Source organism: Homo sapiens, chromosome 15 (assembly GCF_000001405.40).
Source record: "Homo sapiens chromosome 15, GRCh38.p14 Primary Assembly".
NCBI classification, from domain to species: Eukaryota; Metazoa; Chordata; class Mammalia; order Primates; family Hominidae; genus Homo; species Homo sapiens.
This window is the reverse complement of record NC_000015.10, coordinates 59,017,392-59,044,214: the sequence shown is the minus strand read 5'-3', so window position 1 is coordinate 59,044,214 and position 26,823 is coordinate 59,017,392. Positions and strand designations below refer to the sequence as shown.

General features: G+C 38.0%; 1 protein-coding gene across 30 annotated transcripts in view, besides 4 other annotated features; it reads right to left on the bottom strand.

Moving 5' to 3' along the window:
* Nucleotides 1-26,823, bottom strand: part of RNF111 (ring finger protein 111) — a 109,757-nt gene that overhangs the window by 53,205 nt on the left and 29,729 nt on the right. For 18 of the 30 annotated variants that reach the window (XM_047432713.1, XM_047432717.1, XM_047432721.1 and 15 more), the window contains one exon: nt 12,513-13,411. In XM_047432713.1, the coding sequence (XP_047288669.1) occupies nt 12,513-13,411 (899 nt within the window). Of the gene's footprint in view, nt 1-12,512; nt 13,412-21,617; nt 21,708-26,823 lie in introns of all 30 variants that reach the window. The other 12 variants (XM_047432702.1, XM_047432708.1, XM_047432701.1 and 9 more) reach the window with 1 other exon arrangement.
* Nucleotides 17,832-18,331: an enhancer, noted in NCBI's record as "H3K4me1 hESC enhancer chr15:59318083-59318582 (GRCh37/hg19 assembly coordinates)". NCBI's record gives its function as "activates a minimal SCP1, AML or CMV promoter by ChIP-STARR-seq in primed H9 embryonic stem cells {active_cell/tissue: H9 hESC(primed)}" and the evidence as "EXISTENCE:reporter gene assay evidence [ECO:0000049][PMID:30033119]".
* Nucleotides 18,332-18,833: an enhancer, noted in NCBI's record as "H3K4me1 hESC enhancer chr15:59317581-59318082 (GRCh37/hg19 assembly coordinates)". NCBI's record gives its function as "activates a minimal SCP1, AML or CMV promoter by ChIP-STARR-seq in primed H9 embryonic stem cells {active_cell/tissue: H9 hESC(primed)}" and the evidence as "EXISTENCE:reporter gene assay evidence [ECO:0000049][PMID:30033119]".
* Nucleotides 18,973-19,156: a silencer, noted in NCBI's record as "fragment chr15:59317258-59317441 (GRCh37/hg19 assembly coordinates)". NCBI's record gives its function as "represses an EF-1alpha promoter that drives an FKBP-Casp9 reporter gene in an ReSE screen in K562 erythroleukemia cells {active_cell/tissue: K562}" and the evidence as "EXISTENCE:reporter gene assay evidence [ECO:0000049][PMID:32094911]".
* Nucleotides 25,087-25,136: a silencer, noted in NCBI's record as "silent region_6486". NCBI's record gives its function as "represses an Ori minimal core promoter by ATAC-STARR-seq in GM12878 lymphoblastoid cells {active_cell/tissue: GM12878}" and the evidence as "EXISTENCE:reporter gene assay evidence [ECO:0000049][PMID:35858748]".

Below are 26,823 nucleotides of genomic sequence, written 5' to 3'. Positions count from 1 at the left end.
TATTAATAATACAAAAATGAGCTGGGCATGGTGATGTGTGCCTCTAATCCCAGCTACTCATGAGGCTGAGGCAGGAGAATCGCTTGAACCCGGGAGGTGGGGGTTGCAGTGAGCCGAGATTGCGCCACTGCACTCCAGCCTGGGCGGCAAAAGCGAAACTCTGTCTCCCCCCACCAGAAAAAAAAAGACAGTTTCCAATCTGTGAGCACAAACTTTGTGCCACATATAGTATTATGCATGTCTAGCCTCATCAAGAAACTGAAGCTTAGAAAGTTTAAGTGACTTGCAAGAAAATAAGCAACACTTAAAATTCAAAGCTAATTCCAATTCTAAAGCTCATATTCTTTTCATAAATGACACCATGGTACCATACCTACTAAACATGTGGGTGCCTAGTTACTATCAAAAGCATTTTCCTGCTACCAGATGCTTTTGCCACTGCTCTCGTCTTTTACAGTCACAATTAAAGTTACTGAAGGTATAAGCAAATGACTCTACTTTGGGACTCCTCTGTTGGTATCTTTCCAACAGAAATGAAAACATATATGTACACAAAGATTTGTACCCAAATGTTCACTGTAGCATTTTCACAATAGCAAATACCGGAAACCATTCAAAACACCCTTGACCTCTACCTACCTACAGGAGCCTGCTCACTAGCCTTATAGATGTCGTATCTCATCTTCATGACTAATGGCAGTGCAGAAACACAAGCAGGACCAGGGCCCAGCCAAGGAATAAATCACTTAAACAATTCCAGCCAGTTGCAGTGGCTCACACCTGCAAGCCCAGCACTTTGCAAGGCCAAGGCAGGCAGATCACCTGAGGTCAGGAGTTCAAGACCAGTCTGGCCAACATGGTGAAAACCCCGTCTCTACCAAATAATAAAAAAATCAGCTGGCTGAGGTGGTAGGTACCTGTAATCCCAGCTGCTTGGAAGGCTGAGGTGGGAGAATCACTTGAACCCTGGAGGCGGAGGCTGCAGTGAGCGGAGATCGCACCACTGCACTCCAGCCTGGGCAACAAAATGAGACCCTGTCTCAAAAAAAAAAAAAAATTACTAAATTGTACACTTTAAATGAATGAATTTTATAATAGTTAAAATGAATTTTATAGTAGTTAATTATACCTCAATAATTTTTAAAAGAACATAAAACGCTCTCTGCAAGATACAAAACTAGACATCAACAAATGAAGACATCCCATATTCTGGAATACAAGGACTCAAAATCCCAAGATGTCAACTCTCTGTAATGTAATCTACAAATGGAATCCCAATAAAAATACCATCATAGACCTCCCCACCCCCAAACACCTCCATGTAAACAAACTGATTATAAAGTTCACTTGGAGGAATAAACAAACAACAATATCTAGGAAAACATTAAAGATTTTATAATTAAAAGAGTGTTCTTCCTGTACATGGACAGACAGAGCAATAAGACGGAGTAAAAACTCCATAAACAGGCCCAAATGCATGTGGAAAATTTAACATGTGACAAAGGTAGCATATCTCAAGTCAATAGGAAAAAGATGTTAATGACTGGTTTGGGGACAACTGTATAGTCACATGAAAAAAAATTTGGTCCATTTTTCCTATTATACGTAAGGATAAACACCAAATGGATCTATGCTCTAAATGTTAAAAATGAATTAAGTACAAGGACTGGGGGGAAATGGGCTAATTTTGCTAGAACTTTGGAGTGGTAAAAGTATTCCTAATTATGATTCAAAATCCAGAAGCAGTAAGAATAAAAGTTGATAAATATGACTTGTGAAAAAAAATGTTGGACAGCCATAGTGGCTCACGCCTATAATCCCAGCACCTTGTGAGGCCGAGCGGGTGGATCACTTGAGCTCAGAAGTTCAAGACCAGCCTGGGCAACATGGCAAAACCTCATCCCTCCTAAAAATATAAAAATTAGCCAGGCGTGGGGGTGTGCACTTGTGGTCCCAGCTACTCAGGAGGCTGAGGTGGGAGGATTGCTTAAGCGTGGGAGGCTGAGGTTGCAATGAGCCGAGGCAGCAATATGCTGCACTCCATCCTGGGTGACAGAGTGAGATCCTGTCTCAAAAAAAGAAAAAAAAATTTGGCATAAAAGTATGTAAGTCAAGAAACTACTAATTAATTTGTGAAAAATGTGTGTATTATATAGGACTTACATTGCTAATATATAAAAAGCTTCTAAAAATGGATAGAAGAATGAAGACCAGTATCCTGATATCAAAACAGGCAAAAAAAAAAAAAAAAAATATGAACAGACTGATCACAGGAAAAGAAATGAAAATGACCTAAAGTTTTTAAAACATATGAAAAGATACACATTACACATTAAAAAAAATAAAAGAAATACAAATTTAAAATGTACTGACATACTATTTCTCAGCTATCAGACGGACCAAAAACCCCCTAAAATCTGACAACATATTCTGTTGGAAGGATTTTGAGAAAACAGGCACCCTTGCCGGTGAGCATTCAGAATGGTTACAATCACCATGGAGAAAAATGTGGCCATATTTTACAAAATAACATATGCATTTATCCTTTATTCAACAACTGCCTTCTAGAATACTATTCCAAAGACACACTGTCAAACAAATATGAAATGACATATACAAAAAGCTATTTATTGCAGTAATTTTTTTTTTCTTTTGAGACAGAGTCCCACTCTGTCACCCAGGCTGGAGTGCAGTGGCACAATCTCTAGATCTCGGCTCACTGCAACCTCCGCCTCCTGGGTTCAAGCAGTTCTCCTGCCTCAGCCTCTTGAGTAGCTGGGATTACAGGTGCAGCCACCACACCCGGCTAATTTTTCTATTTTTGGTAGAGACAGAGTTTCACCATGTTGGTCGGGCTGGTCTTGAATTCCTGACCTCATGATCCACCCGCCTCGGCCTCCCAAAGTGCTGGGATTACAGGCGTGAGCCACTGCACGGGGTCAAGAAAAGCTATTTATTGCAGTGCTATTTAAAATAATAAAAAAAAGTCTGCAAACTGTTCATCAATAGGAGACTGGTTGAACAAACTGGTACAACCATGCAAGGGAGTATGATGAAGCTTAACAACAAAAGGAATAAAAAGAAATGAGATATACGGAGATATATACTTTCATTCCTCTACAGTATCTCTGTATACCCCAACAATAGTATATATTAAGTGAAAAAAGCAAGAGACACTTTTGAGTAAGAGAAGGGGGTCATATTTTGGGTATATTTTTGAAGAAAAAAAATGAAAGAGTTAACCAAAACTAAATTAAGACCTGAGTATATCTTGTTTTAAAGTTTTGACTCTGAAGCTAGGTAAATGTTTTACATAATTTAAAAAGCGAAATTAAATTTTTTAAAAATATCTTTAAAAAAGCCAACCCTGAAATAAATGAACCTAAATGCATGTGAAATTGGTGGCATAACCACACAGAAAACTGGCCAAGGGCAAAAAGACACTATACAAAACAAAATACTTAAACTGTATTAATTAGAATTACTGTATTAGGTTAGTGCAAAAGCAATGGTGGTTTTGCCATTAAAAGTAATTTTTATGTTGAAACTAGTTCACTTATGTGTACGTATTTATGGCATATATACGACAAGGCAAATAAGCAATGGTTAATATTGTTAAGAATCAGAGTTTTCAGTGTAAGAACAAATACAAATATAAAACAACAACTTACATAAAAACCCTAATCCTAAACTTGCAGTGGAAATATTCACTTAAATTAAAGATTTATTTTTTTCTAAAATCTTTACATTTCTAGCTTTGTCTGTTAAAACAGTCAAAATGTGCTAGGCATGGTGGTTCACATCACACCTGTAATTGCAGCAAATGAGGAGGCTAACATGGTAGGATAAGTTGAGGCCAGGAATTTGAGACCAAACTGGGCAACGTTAAGAAGATCTCATCTCTAAAAAAAAAATTAAAATATAATTTAAAAATTAGTGGAGCAAGATGGCATGTGCTGTAGTCCCAAGTACTCAGAAGGCTGAGGCAGGAGGATCACTTGAGCCCAGGAGGTCAAGTCTGCAAAGAGCTATTGAGTGTACCACTGCTCTCCAGCCTAGGCAACAGAGTGAGACCGTCCCTTTAAAAAAAAAAAATTAGGTTAAATTCAAAAAAGCCAAAAGCATTGGCAACCCAGCAGAGCAAAAACCACCTTAATTCCCAGACTGTAGTCTCTATCACCTCCCAATAAAAGAAAATCGGGCAGGGCGCAGTGGCTCACACCTGTAATCCCAGCACTTGAGGAGGCTGAGGCAGGTGGATCATGAGGTCAGGAGATCGAGACCATGCTGGCCAACACGGTGAAACCCCGTCTCTACTAAAACACAAAAAATTAGCTGGGCACGGTGGCATGTGCCTGTAGTCCCAGCTACTCAGGAGGCTGAGGCAGGGGAATCGCTTGAACCTGGGAGGCAGAGGTTGTACTGAGCCAATATCGCACCACTGCACTCCAGCCTGGCAACAGAACAAGACTCCGTCTCAAAAAAAAAAAAAATCAGGAGTTCTTAAAGGAATAGCTGTTTCTAGGTCTGGGGCAGGAACTGTAGATTAATCTGCACCAACTTGATATACCAGAGAGGAAGGAAGTTATCAACGACTACTAGGATGGCATCAAAAGGACAATGACCCAGTTTGAAGATGTTCCCAATGGCCAAAGATGAAATCATTTAAAAAAGTATAAAAAGACTGCAACAAACTGAAACCCATCAAATATACTAAAATTCATGCATTCATAATGATACTCAAAAGTGAAAAAACCTCTTTGGATGCTGCTAGAACAACTAAGTCATTCTGAGAAGTGGTAAATGAAAGAAGAAAATCAAGCATTCATCTTGCCTTTCCTGTATGAACAGAATTTCAGAATAACCAATGAGCTGATGAACAAAGTGTTCTTCCTTTATAGAAGAACCTCAGATAATAAACCTAAGCAAAATGATAGAATTAGAATATCAAGGCCGGGAGTGGTGGCTCACACCTGTAATCCCAGCACTTTGGGAGGCCAAGGCGGGCAGATGACCTGAGGTTAGGAGTTCGAGACCAGCATGACCAACATGGAAAAACCTCATCTCTACTAAAAATAAAAAATTAGCCAGGTATGGTGGCACGTGCCTGTAATCCCAGCTACTCGGGAGGCAGAGGCAGGAGAATCACTTGAACACGGGAGGCAGAGGTTGCGGTGAGCTGAGATCGTGTCATTGCACTCCAGCCTGGGCAACAAAAGTGAAACTCCATCTCAAAAAATAAATCAATATTTTGCACCCCTAATATAATGAATCTGGGCAAGACCATTAATAACTGCTAAAAAACATTACAGAAAACAGTGAAGGGGAACTTTATAATGGAAGGATCAGAATGACAACATCTGAACCCTCTGATCAAGCTCAATTTGTGACGCAACAGAAAGCACACAGTATCATCAACAAAGTACTGCCGGAACTAAACTTGAACCTAATCAAGCTTTTAGACCCAACTACCTACCAGTTTACAGAAATGATGCCATATATAAAAAAGAATTAAACCATGTGTGTTGAAGTGTCTATGAGTAAAATGATGTCTACAATTTTTGTGAAATTCTCCAGGAAAAAAAAGAGGGGTTAGAAATGAATTAAGAATGGCAGAATGTCAACAACTGAAGCGAGATGATGATTATATGGGAGTTCATTGCATATTTCTGTTTTTGTGTAAGTCTAAAAGTTCCCAAATAAAATCATAAAACCAAAAACTATAACTCAATCAATGCTACTTTTACAAAAAGAGGGACAGAAGTATTCACAGCATTAGATATAATTCCTGATCCTGGGACTCTACAATTCCAAGGGTTATCTTTTTAAGCAAACTTTTAAAAAAGCTTAAAAAGTCAATACAGTATGGACTACACATGGAAAATATATATATATACAGCTATTAGATAATTTTTTAAAGCCTAATATAAGGTAAAATGATATTTGTAGTTTGAGACAAAGTTTCTAGTGATGCATCACTCATGGAGTCAGTGCGTGCCATACCTCACACAAAGCAGATGAGGATCCTATGCTCTCAAAAATTGTGATGACTTAAAAAATGGTTCTAGCAATTACCAAGACATCAAGGTCTACGATGGTTGTGTGAATAAAATTATTTTCAGGAAATGTGGGTAATAATCACTAACTCTAAATTAACATTTTTTCAATATCTTATATGTAAATAAGTTAATAAGACATATGACTATTTTAACAACAGCCTTAAAACTTTGTATTTCAAAGCAAGATAGACAAAACTTCTTTTTCTCCTCAGTGGTAAAATGGGACTGACTTAAGCTCTCTTATTTAGGAGCATATTTGACATTTACGTTTCCTTGAAGACTGAAGGAGATATAATCTGTAATACCTACTTTTTTTTTTGAGAGGGAGTTTCACTCTTGTTGCCCAGGCTGGAGTGCAATGGCGTGATCTCGGCTCACAGCAACCTCTGCTTCCCAGGTTCAAGCCATTCTCCTGCCTCAGCCTCCCAAGTAGCTGGGATTACAGGCATGCGCCACCACGCTCGGCTAATTTTGTATTTTTAGTAGAGACGGGGTTTCTCCATGTTGGTCAGGCTGGTCTCGAACTCCAGACCTCAGGTGATCCACCTGCCTTGGCCTCCCAAAGTGCTGAGATTACAGGTGTGAGCCACCACGCCCGGCAATACCTATTAATTTTAAAGTTAATAAAGTATAAAGAAGTCCTCATATCCATAATTAATTGGGAAACCCAAGGTTTTTGTGTTATTAAATGTCAATTAGTTCCAGTAAGGTTCTCTGAATAGATCCTAGAAATATATTACTAAAATTAACACCTATTCTCAAACCTAGCTTCTGTTAGGTTATTTTAAATATCTGGAGTTCTTGACATATTGCAGTAACAAAACAGAATGTATAAATTATCAGCCTCACTGGCAACTGGGAAAAACTAAATGTTTAACAGGCTTTCTAATAACCCAAGTAACATATCACTTTGGCTTTCTACACATAATAGAAATCCCTAATAAAGTTAAAAGCCAATTAATAATGGGACAGCAAGAAGCAAATATTTTCCAGAAATCTGTTGATTATAACAAATACACTGGTTACGTGCAGTGGCTCACACCTGTAATCCAGCACTTTGGGAGGCCGAGGCAGGCACATCACTTAAGCCCAGGAGTTCGAGACCAGCCTAGGCAACATGACAAAACCCTGTCTCTACCAAAAAAAAAAAAAAAATTAGTCAACTGTAGTTGCACACACCTGCTGCTGTGCCAGCTACTAGGGAGGCTGAGGTGGGAGGATCACCTGAGCCCAAGGAGGTTGAGGCTGCAGCGAGTCATAATTGCACCACTGCACTCCAACCTGGACAACAGATAAGACTGTCTCAAAAAGCAAATAAAACCAAACCAAAAAGAACCACAAATGAACTGATGACATAAAGTCAGTTAATTATATACAACTGTTGGGTCTTGGAGTATTTTAAGATATTACAAAATACTTAAAATGTAAAACATTTTTCCATCAGTTCATTTCCCAATAGCCAATAAATATTGATGCACCGATATGGTTTGGCTTTGTCCCCACCCAAATCTCACCTTGAATTGTAATAATGCCCACATGCCAAGGGTGGGGCCAGGCAGAGATAACTGAATCATGGGGGCAATTTTCCCACATACCATGTTCTCACGGTAGTGAACAAGTCTCATGAGATCTGATGATTTTATAAATGCCAAGTTCCTTGCACAAGCTCTCTCTTGCCTGCTGCCATGTAAGATGTGACTTTGCTCCTCAATGACCTGCCACGATTGTGAGGCCTGACCAGCCATGTGGAACTGTGAGTCAATTAAACCTCTTTCCTTTATAAGTTACCAGTCTTGGCCGGGTGCGGTGGCTCAAACCTGTAATCCCAGCACTTTGGGAGGCTGAGGTGGGCAGCGGATCTCTTGAGGCCAGGAGTTTGAGACCAGCCCGGCCACCATGGTGAAACCCAGTCTCTAATAAAAATATAAAGATTAGCTGGGCGTGGTGGTGCAGGCCTGTCATCCCAGCTACTCAGGCACTTTAACCCAGGAGGCAGAGGTTGCAGTGAGCCAAGATCACACCACTGCACTCCAGCAGCCTGGGCCACAGAGTAAGACTGTCTCAAAAAAATAATAAATAAATAAAAATAGAATAAATTACCCAGTCTCGGGTATGTCTTTATTAGCAACATGAGAATGAACTAATACAGTAAATTGGTACTAACAGAGTGGGGTGATTCTGTAAAGATATCTGAAAATGTGGAAGCAACTTTCGAACTGGGTAACTGGCAGAGGTTGCAAAAGTTTGGAGAGCTCCAAAGATAAGAAGATGTGGGGAAGTTTGGAACTTCCTAGAGACTTGTTGAATGGCTTTGACCAAAATGCTGACAGTGATATGGACAATAAAGTCCAGGCAGAGGTAGCCTCAGATGTAGACAAGGAACTTCTTGGGAACTGGAGTAAATGGGCCACTCTTGCTATGCAAAGAGACTGGCAGCATTTTGCCTCTGCCTTAGAGGTCTGTGGAACCTTGAACTTGAGAGAGATGATTTAGGGTATATGCAAAAGTAATTTCTAAGAGCAAACCATTCGAGAGGAAGCAGAGCATAAAAATTTGCAAAATTTGCAGCCTGACAATGTGATAAAAAAGGAAACCCATTTTCTGGGGAGAAATTCAAACCAGCTCAGAAATTTGCATAAGTTATGTGGAATGAAATATTAACGGGTATAATTACCCAACATCTGTACCCTCATTGCATCTAGGAACTAACTTGCTTCTAATTTTACAGGCTCATATGCAGAAGGGACTTGCCTTGTCTCAGATGAGACTTTGGACTGTGGACTTTTGAGTAAATACTGAAATGAGTTAAGACTTTGGGGGACTGTTGGGAAGGCATGATTGGTTTTGAAATATGAGGACATGGGATTTGGAAGCGGCAGGGGCAGAATGATATGGTCTGGCTGTATCCCTACCCAAATCTCACCTTGACTTATAATAATTCCCACGTGTCATGGACAGGGCCAGGTGGACATAATTCATGGGGGCAGTTTCCCACATACCATGTTCTCATGGTAGTGAGTAAGTCTCACAAGGTCTGATGGTTTTATAAATGGGAGTTCCCCTGCACAATCTCTCTCTTGCCTGCTGCCATGTAAGACGTGACTTTGCTCTTCATTCACCTTCTGCCATAATTGTGAGGCCTCCCCAGCCATGTGGAACTGTGAGCCAATTAAACCCCTTTCCTTTATAAATTACCCAGTCTTGGGTATGTCTTTATTAGCAGCGTGACAATGGATTAATACAAGCACATTGTATGAAAAAGTTGTCCCAGAAGTTCCAGAGTAACTAATATCCATTCATCCATACAAATCATATTAACATGTAGTAAATAAGTCAAATTAAAAGTTTAGACTTTCCAACTCTATCCAGAAAGCCTGAGTTCAAGTTCTAGTTCTACCAATTTGAATTAGCTAAGACTTTTTGCCAAATCATTTTATTTGAATCACTCAAAATATGACTAGGAAATAACCTATCTCCTAAGAATCTAAGGAAGTTAATTATTTGAAAGAGCTGAGATTTCTTGATAATAGAGCTAAGTCTCATTAATATTTCAGTTTAACTATAGTTTTTAAAAAATCATTCCAAACTGATTTTCCAAATGCTTCATCTGTAATATGAGTGTGATGATAACAGAATCCATCTCATAAGAGTACTGGAAGGATTCAATGAGAATACACATAAAATAGAACATTACTGGCACAGAGTGAACACTCAACCAGTGTTAGATATTTTTATTATCATCACGACATTAGCATCGAGGAATTTAATGCAAACTTCTTGGAGGGCATTCTGGTAACAACAGCCAACAACATTTTCAATGCATATACCCTCTGAAACACTTTCAGTAATTATTCCTTAAGATACACTTACATAGGTGTATAAAACGCAAGCACAATGTTGCTCAATGCAGCAAATATCCACTGACAAAAGCTGATTAAATAAATTATGGAACATCCATACAAAGGGAATACTATGCAAATGTCAAGAAGAATGAGATAACTATACATAGTGATATAAAAAGAGCCACATTATTTATCCTTGAATAGCCCTTCACATTTTCTGAAGGAGATAAGAAACTACTAATAGTGATTACTTCTGGTTAATAGTAACACTGGAGGATCTGAAGAAGAGATAAACTTTTATTTTCTATTTTATACTTAATTGATACTTTTAAAATTCCATATCGTGTGAATGTTATTAAATCATTATTTTTTTTAAAACCAGTTTAAAGCAAATCACTTGTCCAGAAACCAGAAAACATTGAATGTACTTGGTTTCAACATTTTGGATTTCTGTTTCTCATGTTTGAGGGTAGTGTCTGAAAATAATGTAGTTAAAAATAACGTAATTCTGCCAAGAAAGGCAATGAAAAAAAACACACACGCTACAGTAAGTATTAAATAAGATTTTTAAATGAATTAAGTTTGGACTTCTCTTTAATACTTGAGGCTATATGAACCCCTGGCACTGATAATGACATTCAATTACTATATTCTCATTCCCCTATAAACATCAGCTCCTTAGAACTTCTGCTCCACATCAACCATCCTGTCTCACTGACTTCGAGCACAAACTGAGCTCTGCTGTACTCACTCCCAAAACTAGTATATGCACATTCTGACCACTTGAGAAAAATGTGACAATTAAGCAACACAACTCCTCATTTCCCTTATTCTCAGGAAATCTCTGGCAATGGTTATTCTACACTCCTCTCACCTGGCTGTACATGATCAAAATGAACTCTTCTCAAAAAAGTATTTGTGTAGGTAAAACTGATCTGAACATGGCCAAGCCTAAGATTAATAACAAGGTTACTGGTTTAGGGTTCTGGCAAAAAGAGAAAAATACAGATGAAAAAGGAAAGAGATTCTTGGAAAAGAAAGGGACTCATAAAGAAGAAGAAGAGAAGAAGAAATGGCACATCCAAAAGTAGACTAGCAGGCCCTGACCTTAACAGGCAAGACATAAGGTAAAACTGAGAAAGCTTATGTTAGTATTAGAAACCATGACCTAGCTAGCCCTTTAGAAAGCTCTCCCTAGGCCCATTACCCTATTCCCTAATTTCACAAGAAATTAATCTTTTCCCTCAGTTCAGACAGCTCTTCAATGCTCACTTCAACAACTCCCTTTAAATTACAACTGTAAAAGTGATGCATTATCTTAGGATGGTTTGTATACATGGAACATACATTTCAGGACTGTCTGCAAATAAACTTATTCTACTTAAATATCACATTTACTGTGTGTGTGAGAGAGAGAGAGAGAGTCAGCACGCATGAGCAAGAGCACACAGGCTCAAGAGCACTGATAGGAAATAGTCCCTACCCAATTTTAATTGATGTATCATATGCACTGTCGAGACTAAAAGTCTCTGGGTCCTAGTATTAGAATAAAAGTTACTTGAAATTACTTTTCAGCTATAAAGAACATGATAACAGCAAACAACAAGAATATAGTACTTAAAGAAAAAATATTGAGAGCCCAAGGCAGGTGGATCGCCTGAGCTAAGGAGTTCAAGACCAACCTGGGCAACTTGGCAAAACCCATCTCTACAAAAAATACAAAAATAAGCCAGGTGTGGTGGTGTGGGCCTGTAGTCCCAGCTACTTGAGGCGCTGACGTGGGAGGACGGCTTCAGCCCAGGAGGTGAAGGTTGCAGTGAACCAAGACTGCATCACTATACTCCAGCCTGAGCAACAAAGCCAGATGCTGCCTCAAAAAAACAAAGGAAAAAAAATTAACCAGTCTTTTTTAGTGACTAGAACTGTTCTTACTATGGCTGAATCCATCATACAGGTAGCTGAAAAAGTATTCATAACAGTCAAGCATATTAAAGAAACACAAGGAAAAAAATGTGTACCATAAATGAAGAACATACATAAAATATAATCTAATATGTATAAAATGTAATAAATGAGGCCAGGTACAGTGGCTCATGCCTGTAATCCCATCACTTTGGGAGGCTGAGGTGGGCAGATAATTTGAGATCAGGAGCTCAAGACTAGCCTGTTCAACATAGTGAAACCCCGTCTCCACTAAAAATACAAAAATTAGCTGGGCATGGTGGTGGGCACCTGTAATCCTGGCTACTTGGGAGGCTGACGCAGGAGAATTGCTTGAACCCAGGAGGCGGAGGTTGCAGTGAGCCGAGATTGCGCCACTGCACTCCAGCCTGGGTGACAAAGTGAGACTCTGTTTCAGAAAAAAAAAAGTAATGAAGGGTTATTCTCCCAAAAAACTCTGACTTATTTTTGTCACTAGAAATTTTTTAAATTTTTATCTTAGCATTAGAGTCATGGTTTAATACTGCAATTGGTAATTTATATGACTTAAAAATAAAAGTTAATAGAACCTGATAGTCCCTTTAAATAAAATCAGTAAGACACAAACAAAAAATTAAGCACAAATGCAATGCAATAGGTTCCATGTTTTACTCAGCTTAAACATTTTTACCTGAGGGAACAGCTGGATTGTTTTGGTGGTTTTCACTGGCAGAAACAAACAAATCTTCTTCTCCTTCAGTTGATGAGCTAGAAGAGGATTCACTGCTGAGGTCATTCTCACTGGAACTACTAGAACTAGGTAGCAAGGCATATTTTCTTCGAGCTAACACTTCTCGTTTCTTCCTCTGCATTAATATCCTCTCTTTTTGTTTCTGTGTCCTCTGTGAGGAATTATTTTTTACAAATCTCTTTCTGCATGGAAGTCTCCGTAACGAACTGCCATGTAAACAGGGTCTTTTCATTAACAATCCCGATACAGATTCTGTCTCAGTCCGAGGCCACTTATGAGACCGTGCACTATGGCTTCTACTTTTAGCATTCAAAATGGTCTGGGAATGTCTTACAGAGACTTCTTTATCCTCATCTGAAGTCACAGTATCAGAATCTCCAAAATGCAGACTAGATGAAGGAGAAGAAAGACAATCACTAAAAGAGGAATCATTATCTTCATCACTTGGTGTCCCTAGGTGTTGCCTCAGTCCTAATATTCCCTGGTTTTCTTTAACACAATTCTGCACATACGAAGGGCCAGCCTGCTGGCTTTTGCGTTTTTTCCTCACAACGAGACTTTTTTCTTGTTCTTGCTGGTTACCATTCATTTCCTTCTCTTGCTTTTGAGAATCATCACACAGGTGAGAGAATTCATTCCCCACTTTACTATTAATCATCTCAACTCCTGCAGGAAAACTTTTGGCTGCCCCAATGGGCTCTGGATGCAAAAGGATCCCTTTCAGACTCTCCTGTGTCTTTGGTGCATCAGAAGGAATCTCACTCTTCATATCCACTTTTAAGGTGTAGAGCTCGTTATATTCAGGAGTCCATTGAGACATGGGAAACTTTAAGGAAAGCCTAGAAGACAAAATTAGATATTTAAAAGATTTTTAATGTGTTTTATTATACTATTTAATTGAAGAGTTCTCAAATTCCACCAAGAAGATCCCTTATAAAGGCAGAACTGTCTTTTCCTCATCAGTACACAAAATGTCTGTTATGAATTATTTTACTATTCTTATAAAACGTTTTTCTCTGGTCACTCTACTCATGCATCCAATTTTTAGAAATACAGTAGATATAGAGCATAAGCCTACTTAAAAACTTCTATTAACCAAAAACTGATCTTATTGCATATCTCACTACCTTCAGCAACAAAACATATTTGGTCAAATCAAACAATTACTTCAAAACCTATTTCAGTGAAATATAAATAAAAGGATTCGAATTCAAAAGACTAATTAGTCAACATGTTTTACTCCTGGTATGACATTTTTAAGTGGTTATTATTAAATGTTTCTGTACATCTAGATGGTTACTACATTAGATTGATATTATTAATAATGAGCTAATGAATATAAGCTTCTCTTTTCTATTTTTTTTCCTTCATACTACTCTATTAATTCTCTAATGAGAATCTGAATTCTCCTGATAGTAGACACAACTACTGCATTTCAGTTTTAAATACAAAAAGATTAGAGCCAAGACTGTGGGCTGCTGAAGATCATTCAGTTAAATAAACAATACAGCAGAACATAAAATCAAACTTTGTACAGCTAATCTATCTAAATCATTCAACATCTTAAATTACGAGCTGCCAAAAAGAGATCTGAATTTAAAGCATTTACATCAATGCAATGTACATATGAAAATAATGTAATAGTAAATATCATGACTCAAAATGAAATATATTAATCAGAAAGGCAGTAAATGTGACAAATGAAGAGCTTTACTAGTGCAAAACATGAATAAACAATGTTAACATATTTTTAACAAGTTTTTATTAAGTATAGCATACACACATATTCTAAGTTTATAGATGAATGAACACTAAAAAAATGAACACCTCTATGTAACTGGCACACAGATAAACAACATAACCAGCACCCTAGAAATCTTCTTCCCATTACTACAGCCCACCAAACTGTTAACCACTATTGTAACTTCTGACACCACAGATTTGTTTTGCCCATAAAATACATTTTGAAACCAGTTCCTAAAAAGCGAGTACAACAGCTGTTTAGTAAGCAAGTATTTTCCCTCTCTACAAATGGGTTACAGAAATATATAATCTTACAGGTCTCCCATGTTACTATAGTATATAACTTTACTATCAGAACAAATGACAATAATTAAGGCATAGAATGACCTATTCCTACAGAAAGCTATCAAAACCACTATCTTCTTTTATTCTTATTCACAAGCACAGGCAGTGCTGTATCCAAGATCAGCCATCACGCGCTATCTGTAGTTCAGCAGGATCAGTGATAAACCAGGAATACAAAGATGAGTGAACATGAGCATGGCAATGAGCAAATTACAGAAGGCAGCCAGTCAGACAAGGATCACTTTAATTAAAGGCAAGAACACAGAAGTCACAATGATAAAACACAGGTACATGTGATCTAAGAGTTGAATGGGGCCAAACAGGATGGCTGTAATAAAGAACACAGGTAATAACAAGTGTTAGAGAGGATGCATAAAAAAAAAACATTGGAACCCTCATATATTGCTGATGGAAATGTAAAATGATACAAGCTACTTTGGGAAGCGGTCTAGCAGATCCTCAAAAATTAAATACAAGCTGGGCGCGGTGGCTCATGTCTGTAATCCCACCACTTTGGGAGGCCAAGGCGGGCGGATCACTGGAGGCCAGGAGTTCGAGATCAGCCTGGCCAACATGGTGAAACCCCATCTCTACTAAAAATACAAAAATTAGCCAGGATAGTGGCGCACTGACTGTAATCCCAGCTACTTGGGAGGCTGAAGCATGAGAATCGCTTGAACCTGGGAGGCAGAGGTTACAGTGAGCTGGGACTGCACCGCTACAGTCCAGCTTGAGCAACAGAGCAAGACTCTATCTCAAGAAAAAAAAAAAAATTAAACACAAAATTGCTATGTGACCTAGCATTTCCACTCCTAGGTATGTACCCAAGAGAAATGAAAACACATATTCATAAAAAAACTTATAAACAGCAACATTAGTCATAACAGCCAAAAAAGTGGGAACACAAATGCCAATCAACTGATGAATAAATAAATCCATACAAAAGATTATTACTCAGCAATAGAAAGAAATGAAGTACGGTAGTCCCTCACTATCCAGTTTAACTTTCCACAGCTTCAGTTACTCACACTATGAGAGAGAGACCACATTCACATAAGTTTTATCACAGTATGTTGTTAGAATTTTGCTACTTTATTGTTGTTGTTAGTCTCTTATTCTGCCTAATTTATAAATTAAACTTTATCATAGGCATGTAGGTATATGAAAAAAAAAACACTATATGGTTTCAGGCATCCACTGGGGGACTCAGAATGGTTTCCCCTTGGACAGGGGCGCAGACTACCATACTGACTCAAGCTACAACATGGATAAACAATATGCTAAGTAAAAGAAACCAGTCAAAAAGATAACATAATGTAAGATTCCCTTTATATGGAATGTCTGGAATAGGCAAATCTACATAGATAGAATGTGGTTACCTAGGGCTGGGGATCATCGGAGGATTCAACTATGATGGCCGAAAAGCATGGAGTTTCTGGCCAGGCGCGGTGGCCAAACCCTACACTTTGGGAGGCCGAGGCGGGCAGATCACCTGAGGTCAGGAGTTCGAGGCCAGCCTGGCCAACATGGTGAAACCCCATCTCTACTAAAAATACAAAAAATTATCCGGGCATGGTGGCGTGCACCTGTAATCCCAGCTACTCAGGAGGCTGAGGCAGGAGAATTGCTTGAACCAGGGAGGCAGAGGTTGTAGTGAGCTGAGATCACACCACTGCACTCCAGCTTGGACAACAAGAGTGGGGAAAAAAAAAAAAAAAGGTGGGCCAGGTGCAGTGGCTCACGCCTGTAATCCCACCACTTTGGGAGGCTGAAGCGGGTGGATCACCTGAGGTTAGGAGTTTGAGACCAGCCTGACCAACATGGTGAAAAGAAACCCTGTCTTACTAAAAATACAAAAATTAGCCAGGCATGGTGGCAGGCACCTGTAATCCCAGCTACTCAGGAGGCTGACGCAGCAGAATCGCTTGAACCCAGGAGACATAGGTTGCAGTGAGCCGAGATTGCGCCATTGCACTCCAGCCTGGGCAACAGAGCAAGACTCTGTCTCCCAAAAAAAAAAAGAAAAAAAGGTATAGAATTTCTTTTATTTTCAGTGAACTGAAAATGTTCTACAACTGATTGTGGTGCCAGCTATTCAACTCTGTGAATATACTAAAAACCCAGTGAAATAAAATCTCAATAAAACTCCTGCCAGAAAGTCAAGAGGTTTAAAAAAAGTGAAAAAGTCAAGAGGAAAAGTATCAAGATTTCTAGGCATCAGAGACTCCATCAGCAACAGAAGTCTCATGATGTATGTTGGAAACAGCTGGGGTTCTTCCAGAAACCCATGTCAGAGTTATGTTCTGGTGGATTTCAGAGGAGGAGATCTTGGAGTCTTTATGGGCTGAAGATTTAAAAATTAGACTCCTCATCCGTAATTACTAAGTCCTCATGTTGATAATGGAGATCATGAGAAGCAATGAAAACTTGCCAAAAACCAGACAAATTCTGAGAACATGCAGCCATACATTAATTTACAAAGAAGCAATTCACAGCACAATTAACTAAACCCAATTTCTTTTCCATCATTTCATGTCCCAAAGCCAAAACAATGCAATCAACTCTTTATGGTTAAATCTGCTCTGATTTTTGATCAGTTTAGTCTGTCCAATGAGACAAGGGTAGAGGAGAGCAAGGGGGGGTGGTTTGGTGTATGCTGTGGTGTGTGTTTGTACACCAGTTAACTCTTCTCTGAGTTAACATATCATGCAGTCATTAAATGCAAAATTAATATCCCATATAACTAAGAGGTTCCCACCCAGGGAGTAATTCATACTATTTTTTTTTCTAAAATCCATCGCTGTATTGTATCATGTTCTAAATTTTTTTTTCTAAAATCCATCCCTGTAATTGTATCAGGCTGTATTTTGAACTTAGAAGAGGAAAGTTCAAAAGGAAATAAACACAAGTATTGCATTTAACTTAAAAAGCAGCAAATATAACAGATAATATTCTAAATTATTTGCTGTTTGATAAAACCATATTCTAGTCTTTTATTTTTGTAAAAATTATTGGCTGATCTAATTTACAAAGGAGGCAAATGCGTACAAGATATATCTCCTTGGTGACATTATAAATGGCTTGCTGTTACACACTGTTTCAATACTGAAACCATAATACTAGTCCCTCTTTGTGTAGATCGATCCAATCATTTCATTGCTATGTCATGATGACTGCATGCTAATTACTCCTGATACTAGTGTAGAATACACCACTATTAGTAAACCTTGCACTAAGAAAATACGATAGCTAAAAAAAAATACTAACTTTCAAAACTAAAAATTAGGGTTGGGATTTAGTAATTCACATCATAAACAAGTTTATGTGAGCAAAAGGAGGAAAAACCCATTAAGACTATCCATACAACTCTGAGGAACTCTACTTCTAAACTGTGATACACTATTATTGGTATGATGCTTCACCACCAATTATAAATATGAATACTTGTTTCAACTTTAAATAAAAATGTAATGATTGCTTACATGACTCTAAAGAAATAAGATTTTAAAAGAAAAAAAAAAAGCCGGCCGGGCACAGTGGCTCACGCCTGTAATCCCAGCACTTTGGGCGGCTAAGGCAGGCAGATCACCTGAGGTTGGGAGTTCGAGACCAGCCTGACCAACATGGAAAAAACCCGTCTCCACCAAAAATGCAAAGTTAGCCAGGCGTGGTGGCACATGCCTGTAATCCCAGCTACTCGGGAGGCTGAGGCAGGAGAATCGCTTGAATCCGCAAGGCAGCGGTTGCGGTGAGCCGAGATCGCGCCATTGCACTCCAGCCTGGGAGACAAGAGCAAAATTCCGACACAAAAGAAAAAAGAAAAAAAAAAAGCCATAGATGACTTGGCATTTTTCTACAAAAGTTTTAGAGATTATCAGAAAATCAACTAGAAATATGTCTACCATTTAACTATCTTTTTAATATAATTAAGTGAAAAAAATAATACCTGTACTACAGGGATATCACTTGGGGTGTGTATTAAATTTTTAATTCTCTTATTTATTTTACTATGTGCCAGCTTAAGTATATTAAATCAAATGCCTGAAAGAATATTCTCTTCTACTACCTATAACTACTACTACTCATATCTAGATAATACAGACAATATGCTTTGTTACATATTCTAAATAGCCAAAATTTCATTAGCAAGAAAGGTATTTTCCCTCAAAAGTATCACTATGGACCCTCAAGTGCATTAGCTCGTACTAAAATTTCTCAAGAGATTTCTGCTAGGAGTACACAACCTAATAATGTACTCAATTATGAAAAGAAGAGTGGGACCCTTGATAAACTTATTACCTTTCCTAGTAGAAAGGAGAAAGTTATACTCACGATAACTGCTATGAAACTATAAGATAAACTTGATTTCTGCCTGGGCGCAGTGGCTCACGCCTGTAATCCCTGCACTTTGGGAGGCGGAGGAGGGCGGATCGTAACAGCATTATTTGCAAAAACCAAAAGGTGGAAGCATCTCAAGTGTCCACTGAAGTGATGAATAGATAAACAAATGTGATATACACGTACAATGAAATAGTATTCAGCCTTAAAAAGGAAACCCTGACGCATTACAACATGGATGAATCTTGAAGACATTATGCTAAGTGAAATAAGAAGACACAACAAGACAAATATTGTATGATTCCACTTATATGAATTACCCAGAGTAGTCAAATTCATAGACAGAAAATAAAATGGTGGTTGCGAGGACCTGAGGGAGGGGGAGAATAGGAGTTAGTGTTTAACAGTTACTGAGTTTCAGTCGGGGAAGATAAAAAGTTGTGGAAATAGATGGAGATGTTGCACAACAATGTCAATGTACTTAATGCCAAATTATAAACTTAAAAATGGTAATTTTATGTTACGTACATTTAAACGACCAAAATAATTCAAAAGAGATATTGTTATAAAACATTATCCTGGAAAGGCTAGTAAAGTCACTCAAAAAAGAGAATGCGCATAAATATGTAAAAGAACATGTAATCCTATGTTGGCATCTGCTTCTCAGAGAATCTGGACTAAAACACACTTTAAAAAATCACCCTCTCTTCCTCATCACTCAAACTCATATTCTGTCTTTCTTAAAGTACTTGCTGAAAAGATCTTGCTAGCCTATTTATTACACAAAGCGTCTCAGTAGAATATAAGTTCCAAGGAAGCAGGAATCTCATCTAGGCAGATCTCTAGCAATGAAAACAGTTGACTCGCACATACTAGGCACTCAATTAGTATTTTTTTTAATTGCATTAATCTGTAAAAGAATGAGTAAAAGGAAGGAAGTAAAACACAACTGCCATATTTCTAGCTTAGGTAACTAAGAATATGGTGACACCAATAGCTGAGATAGAAAAGAAAATATGCAGAATGAGAATAATAATAACAAAATTAGGAAAATAATACCTAAGATTTCTTGAAAATTTACTATTGCTCAATTTCCTTCTTCAGGTATTCTGTAGCCACAAGATATTTACCATATAACTGGGGATAATCAGGTCCTTAAAAGAGAGAAACTGACCATAGAAAAGAACAGCAGGGAGCCAAAAGATTTTTTCCTATATATTATTGGTAAACTGATCTACATGCTACTTCTTGGAGAATAGGAAATATTAAATAGGAAAGTGGTTGCACCTTCCAGAAAGTCTATTAAGATCACTCTTCATGTCCCTTAGGGTCTCAAGGCTCAAAGTTATAAAGTAAATCTTCAAACTAGACTGGCAGGATTCAGCTCACAGACATGGTTTGTTTGGCATACATAATTCAGGGGGAAAAAAACTGATGGTTAATAGTGAAACACTATAGGCATTCTCATTAAAATCTGGAAGAAAAAAAGGAATTCACTGTTATAAAACATTCTTCTGGAAAGGCTAGTAAACTCATTTAAACAAGGGAATGGGCATATATATTTAAAAGAAGGTAATTTTTTTCATTATTGGCAGATGACACTGACAAATGAGCTCAATAGTAGAAAACCACTGGCAACAGTAAGACAGGCCAGTTACTTATATATTTACCAAAAATATATAAATAAAAATAACACTCCAAAAATCAATGACTTTCCTTTACACAAACAGTAGCTAGTTAGAAAATACTACAGAATAACAAAAATATACTACTTACAAGAGGAATGAAAATATTTAATATCTGGTATGAAATTTAACAAGAGACACAAAGGACCTACATGAAAACAATTATAACAATGTCAGTTACGCAAAAATTTATGGGAAATTCAATTTCATGCCAAAATAATAGCAAATTCAGTTATAAAACAGGGTAAACCAGCATGCTACTTCCTCACTTTCTTTTTTTCTTTGAGATTGAGTCTTGCTCTGTCACCCAGGCGGGAGTGCAGTGGTGTGATCTCAGCTCACTGCAACCTACGCCTCCCGGATTCAACCGATTCTCCTGCCTCAGCCTCCCGAGTAGCTGGGATTACAGACACGCACCACCATGCCCAGTTAATTTTTTGTATTTTTAGTAGAGACAGGGTTTCACCACGTTGGCCAGGCTGGTCTCGAACTCCTGACCTCAGGTGATCCTCCCGCCTCGGCCTCCCAAAGTGCTGGGATTACAGGCGTAAGCCACCGCGCCCAGCCAATTTCCTCACTTTCAAAGATCCTCTGTCATCCAGGGAATCCACCAGAACACTGCAGATCTGTTCATACTTCTGCATTAACCAGCTGAGAATTTCTCCTTACTTTTCTCAGATCCAAAGTAAAACCTAGACACCCTCTAGGTAGAGAGCAGGAAGGACAGGCAATCTCCTTACTGGATGTGTCTATGCTGATATTAATAATGAGAAGTTTCCTATTATCTGCCAATGTCACTTTGGTGAGTCTTTTGGTTGCATTTAAAAGACATTGGAAGAATGATTTATATGGAGTGTGAAGAGGTTAAACAACCTAAACCCAAAGACGTTCACTATACTCCTTAACCTTAACAGATATCCACAGAAACAATTACTTGTTAAAAGAGGACTGCACAAGGGATAGCCATGTGAGGAGATTAAGGGACATCCTCCATTCCATGTTGGTCTGGATATTACTGCTCATGCTATAAAAAGGAAAGAAAATACAGTTAAATGGAGATTAGAACTGTCAGAATCTGGAAGTCAAAGTTATCTTTTGGGAGGTCTGTCTAGGATAACTATCTCCTCTGACAGGTAAAGAGGAACTGAGAAGCAAAGATGGAACCACCCTTACATTTAGACAGACTTTCACATGATTTTAGTATCTCAGCTAAGGCTTGCTCTGAATGAAGTAAAATTCTCTGTCGCCTCTAAGTACAAAGACCTCAAAACACTTAGGGTAGAGAACTAGCTAACAGACAAAACCACTAAGAGGAAAATTTCAAGGTTAATTAGTCTTATAAAATATTTCCAAAATATTTTATAGGAAGCTTGGCCAGGCGTGGTGGCTCATGCTTGTAATCCCAGCACTTTGGGCGGCCAAGGCGGGGAGATCACTTTAGGTCAGGAGTTCGAGTCCAGCCTGGCCAACATGGTGATACCCCGTCTCAACTAAAAATACAAAAATTAGCCAGGCATGGTGGCACGCGCCTGTAGTTCCAGCTACTCGGGAGGCTGAGGCGGGAGGATCGCTTGAACCTGGGAGGCAAGGTTGCAGTGAGGTGAGGTCACGTCACTGTACTTCAGCCTGGGTGACAGAGCAAACTCTGACTCAAAAAAAAATTTATAAGAAGCTAGAAAAAATGAACGCATAGCAATAACCAAAAAGCTATAGTAAATCTAGGAAACAAGTGAAATTATGGAAAATGAAATATTCAATGAATACTGAGTGATAAACAGTGAACAGTGATGTAGATTTTCGATCCAGGGATCACTGAGTTACAGTCTTGACTCTGCCCCTATGTAATCTTGGCCATAGTACTCTCTAAAACTGTTTTTAGTCTATAAAATTGGAATAATAATAGTACTTACCTCATAAAATTCCGTAACGGTTAAATGAGAGTACCTAACAAAGCACATGGCATAGTGGCTGTTATTATTAATTACTTTCCTAAAGGAGCAGGTACATACATAAGACTTAACATTTAAGACTTTCTCTTACACCTAAAAATAAATGTAATCTTTGAGATCCAGAAGGGCATAGGCCAGGCATGGTGGTTCATACCTATAATCCCAACACTTTGGGAGGCCGAGACAGGCGGATGAATTGAGGTCAGGAGTTCGAGACCAGCCTGGCCAACATAACAAAACCCTGTCTCTACTAAAAATACAAAAATTAGCCGGGCATGGTGGCACCCACCTGTAATCCCAGCTACTGGCCAGGCTGAGACAGGAGAATCACTTGAACTCACGAGGCGGAGTTTGCAGTGAGCCGAGATCGCATCACTGCACTCCATCCTGGGCAACAGAGCAAGACTTCATCTCAAACAAACAAAAAAAGGCAGGGCATAAAATCTGGGATCTAACCTATGAGGACACAGAGGCATAAGAATGATACAAAGGACTTTGGGGGAAAGGGTGGAAAGTGAGGTCAGGGATAAAAGACTACACATTAGGTACAGTATACATGGCTCAGGTGATGGGTGCACCAAAATCTCAGAAATCACCACTAAAGAACTTATTCATGTAACCAAACACCACCTGTTCCCCAAAAACCTACTGAGATTTAAAAAATAAAAATTAAAACAACAAAAAAGAAGGGCATAAAAAACTGTTCCCACAAAAGTTTGAAGTATAGAAACAAAGAACCAAATTTCTTTAGCATAAAACCTATCAAAGCCAAGAATTCTACAGACTTTCCTCTATTATGGAGGACTGGAGTTTGGTAGCTGGATGTTTCAGCCCCCTAAATTCTAATACCAGATATTCTGCTTCTGGAAACAGATAAGTTAAACCTCTCTCAACTAATAGGTTTCAATTTCTCAGTGAACTTAATGATTTTCTCATCTGTCTTGTTAAAGTATTCTGAAATCCTTAAATATTAGTCATCAAAGAGAAACATAACATCAACTTACATCTCCTGTCAATACAAACTGGGTGAAGTTCAATATGTTACAGAGTCTACTGCTCTAGCAATGACTCTGTTATTATTACAGCCAATAGCAAAATGAAGGGTGTATCTAACCTCACAAGCCTGAACAGTATCTGGGAGTCAGTTCTTTTTTGGTAGGGTGGCAGCACTACAAGTCATAGGGGCATACTGCACAAGTGTCTAATATTTCTGGTAAGGAAGCCTGGATCCTGAAATGTATACTAAATAAGACATAAAGATACTGCTAATTAATTACTATATATTACAATATATAATGCATATTTACTATATATAATGCATATATTGTTATATTTATGTACAGTATATACATATTATCTTTATTGTATATAGAATTAAGTATCTTACAAAATATATAGTATATTTGCATATTACATATCTAACAAATTTTATATATCTAACATATATAAAATATGTATTTTATATATGAAATATATATTTATATCTTATATAACACAAAATATAAAATTATATGATATATAAAATAAAATCTAAGAGAACTAAACTCAAAAATCCATTAACCCCATTTCGGTGCAGTAGCTATATTTTCCTATCAATAAATACTTTTGTGTTTTTTGTTTTTTTGAGATGGAGTCTCAGTCTGTCACCCAGGCTGAAGTGCAGTGGCACGATCTCGACTCACTGCAACCTCCATCTCCCAGGTTCAAGCAATTTTGCTGCCTCAGCCTCCCGAGCAGCTAGGACTATAGGCACACACCACCACACCTGGCTAATTTTTGTATTTTCAGTAAAGACAGGGTTTTACCACGTTGGCCAGGCCGGTCTCGAATTCCTGACCTCAGGTGATCCACCCACCTCAGCTTCCCAAAGTGCTGGGATTACAGGCATAAGCCACCACGCCTGGCTTAAATACTTTTAAATATCCAATAATAACATGTTTAAAAGTACAATGGAAAAAAGATCACTTTCCCCAAAGCAACAAAAATAGCTATATAGTTATTCCAAGGTATTAAGCCTGACAAGAATGGTGTATAAACCCATATGAAAAACACTACAAAACTGTACAACAGGATGTAACAGACAATCCTAGTAAAGAGCGAGAGACCTCATTTCTGGATGAACAAGGACTCCAAATTGGCTCCGTCACAAATTAGAAGAAAGCCAATTTTTTTTAAAACTATAAAACATAAACATTACCATCAGACATATCAGGCCTTTAAAAACACTGTATTTTTTCAAATGGCCTGAATATATACACCTAAGGATCCATTCAAAGTAATATTGTTTGCATTTTCTCATTATTTTGTTCAGTGGAACTTTAAAATAATTAAAACTTAATTTAATAAAATAAATAAATGGATCACACCTGTAATCCCAGCACTTTGTGAGGCCAAGGCAGGTGGATCACTTGAGCCCAGGGGTTCAAAACCACCCTGGGCAACATGAAACCTCACCTCTACAAAAAAAAAAAAAAAAATACAAAAATACAAAAATTAGCCAGGGTGGTGGCACGTGCCTGAAGTCTCACCTACACGGGTGGCTGAGGTGGGAGGATCACTCAAGCCCGGAAGGCAGAGGCTGCAGTGAGCTGAGGTCTTACCACTGCACTCCAACCTGGGCGACAGAGCATGGCGCTGTCTCAAAAAAAAGAAAAAAGAAAAGAAACAAATATACAGTTATATGCACAAATAAGAGGGCAGAAACAAAAGGGAAAAGCTGAACTCAAACTTTTTTTCATCCTTTTCTTATTTAAAAAAAAGTATTACATAAAATTAACTGCTAAGCAGCCTTTTAAAATCAGGCAGGATTTGTACAAACTGTTATGGAAAGTATGGATCATTTTCTTTAAACGGACTACAAGTAAGTCTGCTATTATAGGATTCTTCTTCGTAAAACAACTTATATTAATATATGCATTTGTAAAATACACACTTAACAGTTTGGGAGTGAAACAATAGGGTAGAAATTTATAGCACTGGGTGGGGGTCTTTTACCCTTTATAAGTTTCTGTATATATAGTTTGTTTTTTTTCTAAAAAGTAACCATTTACCAATTTTGAAATTAAAGATTTTTTAAGGAAATAAATTATGAGAACATAATATATTTAAATTTTTCACTATATTAGAACACAACTTTGTTGACAACAGATTTCTACACAAACAAATCAAATATATGCAAGCACAATTTTTACAGGAATCTTGGCTAGGCATAAAATTTCTTAAGTGACCAGAAATGACCACCAATCCTGGACACCTTAATGACAGAATAGGGCAGAAACTCAGAAATGGCAGTGACCGTTAGCAGATTTGAATGGAATTGTCAAATGTGAGAAATGATTTTTAGTTACTGATGTTAGTCTACAAATCTAGGCATGTTGTTTTTGAACCCATCTTTACAAATAAATTTTAATGCTCGAAAATGATAATAATTTATCAAACCATTTCACAAAATCTTTCTTCATTAAAAGTGTAATAATTATGATTGCTGCATTAATGGAAAGTAGTCTATAAGAGCTCAACAAATAGGCCGGGCGTGGTGCCTCATACCTATAATCCCAGCGCTTTGGGAGGCTGAGGCAGGTGGGTCACCTGAGGTCAGGAGTTCGAGACCAGCCTGGCCAACATGATGAAACCCCGTCTCTACCAAAAATACAAAAAATTAGCTGGGCATGATGGCAGGCGCCTGTAATCCCAGCTACTCGGGAGGCTGAAGCAGGAGAATCGTTTGAACCCAGGAAGTGGAGGTTGCAGAGAGCCGAGATTGTGCCATTGCACTCTAGCCTGGACAACAAGAGCGAAACTCCATCTCAAAAAAAAAAAAAAAAAAAAAGAGTTCAACAAATAATGTAACAAACCTGGAAGACAAACCTCCAGGACCTTTTGTTCTTGATAATTCAAGTAATAAATCTGTCAACTTTCAAAGCTTCAAACTTACAAACTACTCTTAGAGATTTCTGTTATTTTAACTTCCTGTTTCCAAAACTGAACTTTAAGTGGCTTCCAGATTTCCTTGGAGATTGGAACTGAAGAGTTCTCTCTTTTAAAGTGATAGAAGCCAAACCTAAAGACAATTGATGTTTTTATAAATATACAGAAAAGATGGCTGCTTCAACATGTCTTCAAAATTTAACAATCTGTAACAGGTAAATGTAAAATTAAACCATATTTCGAAATAAGCTCTTAAATCTTTAC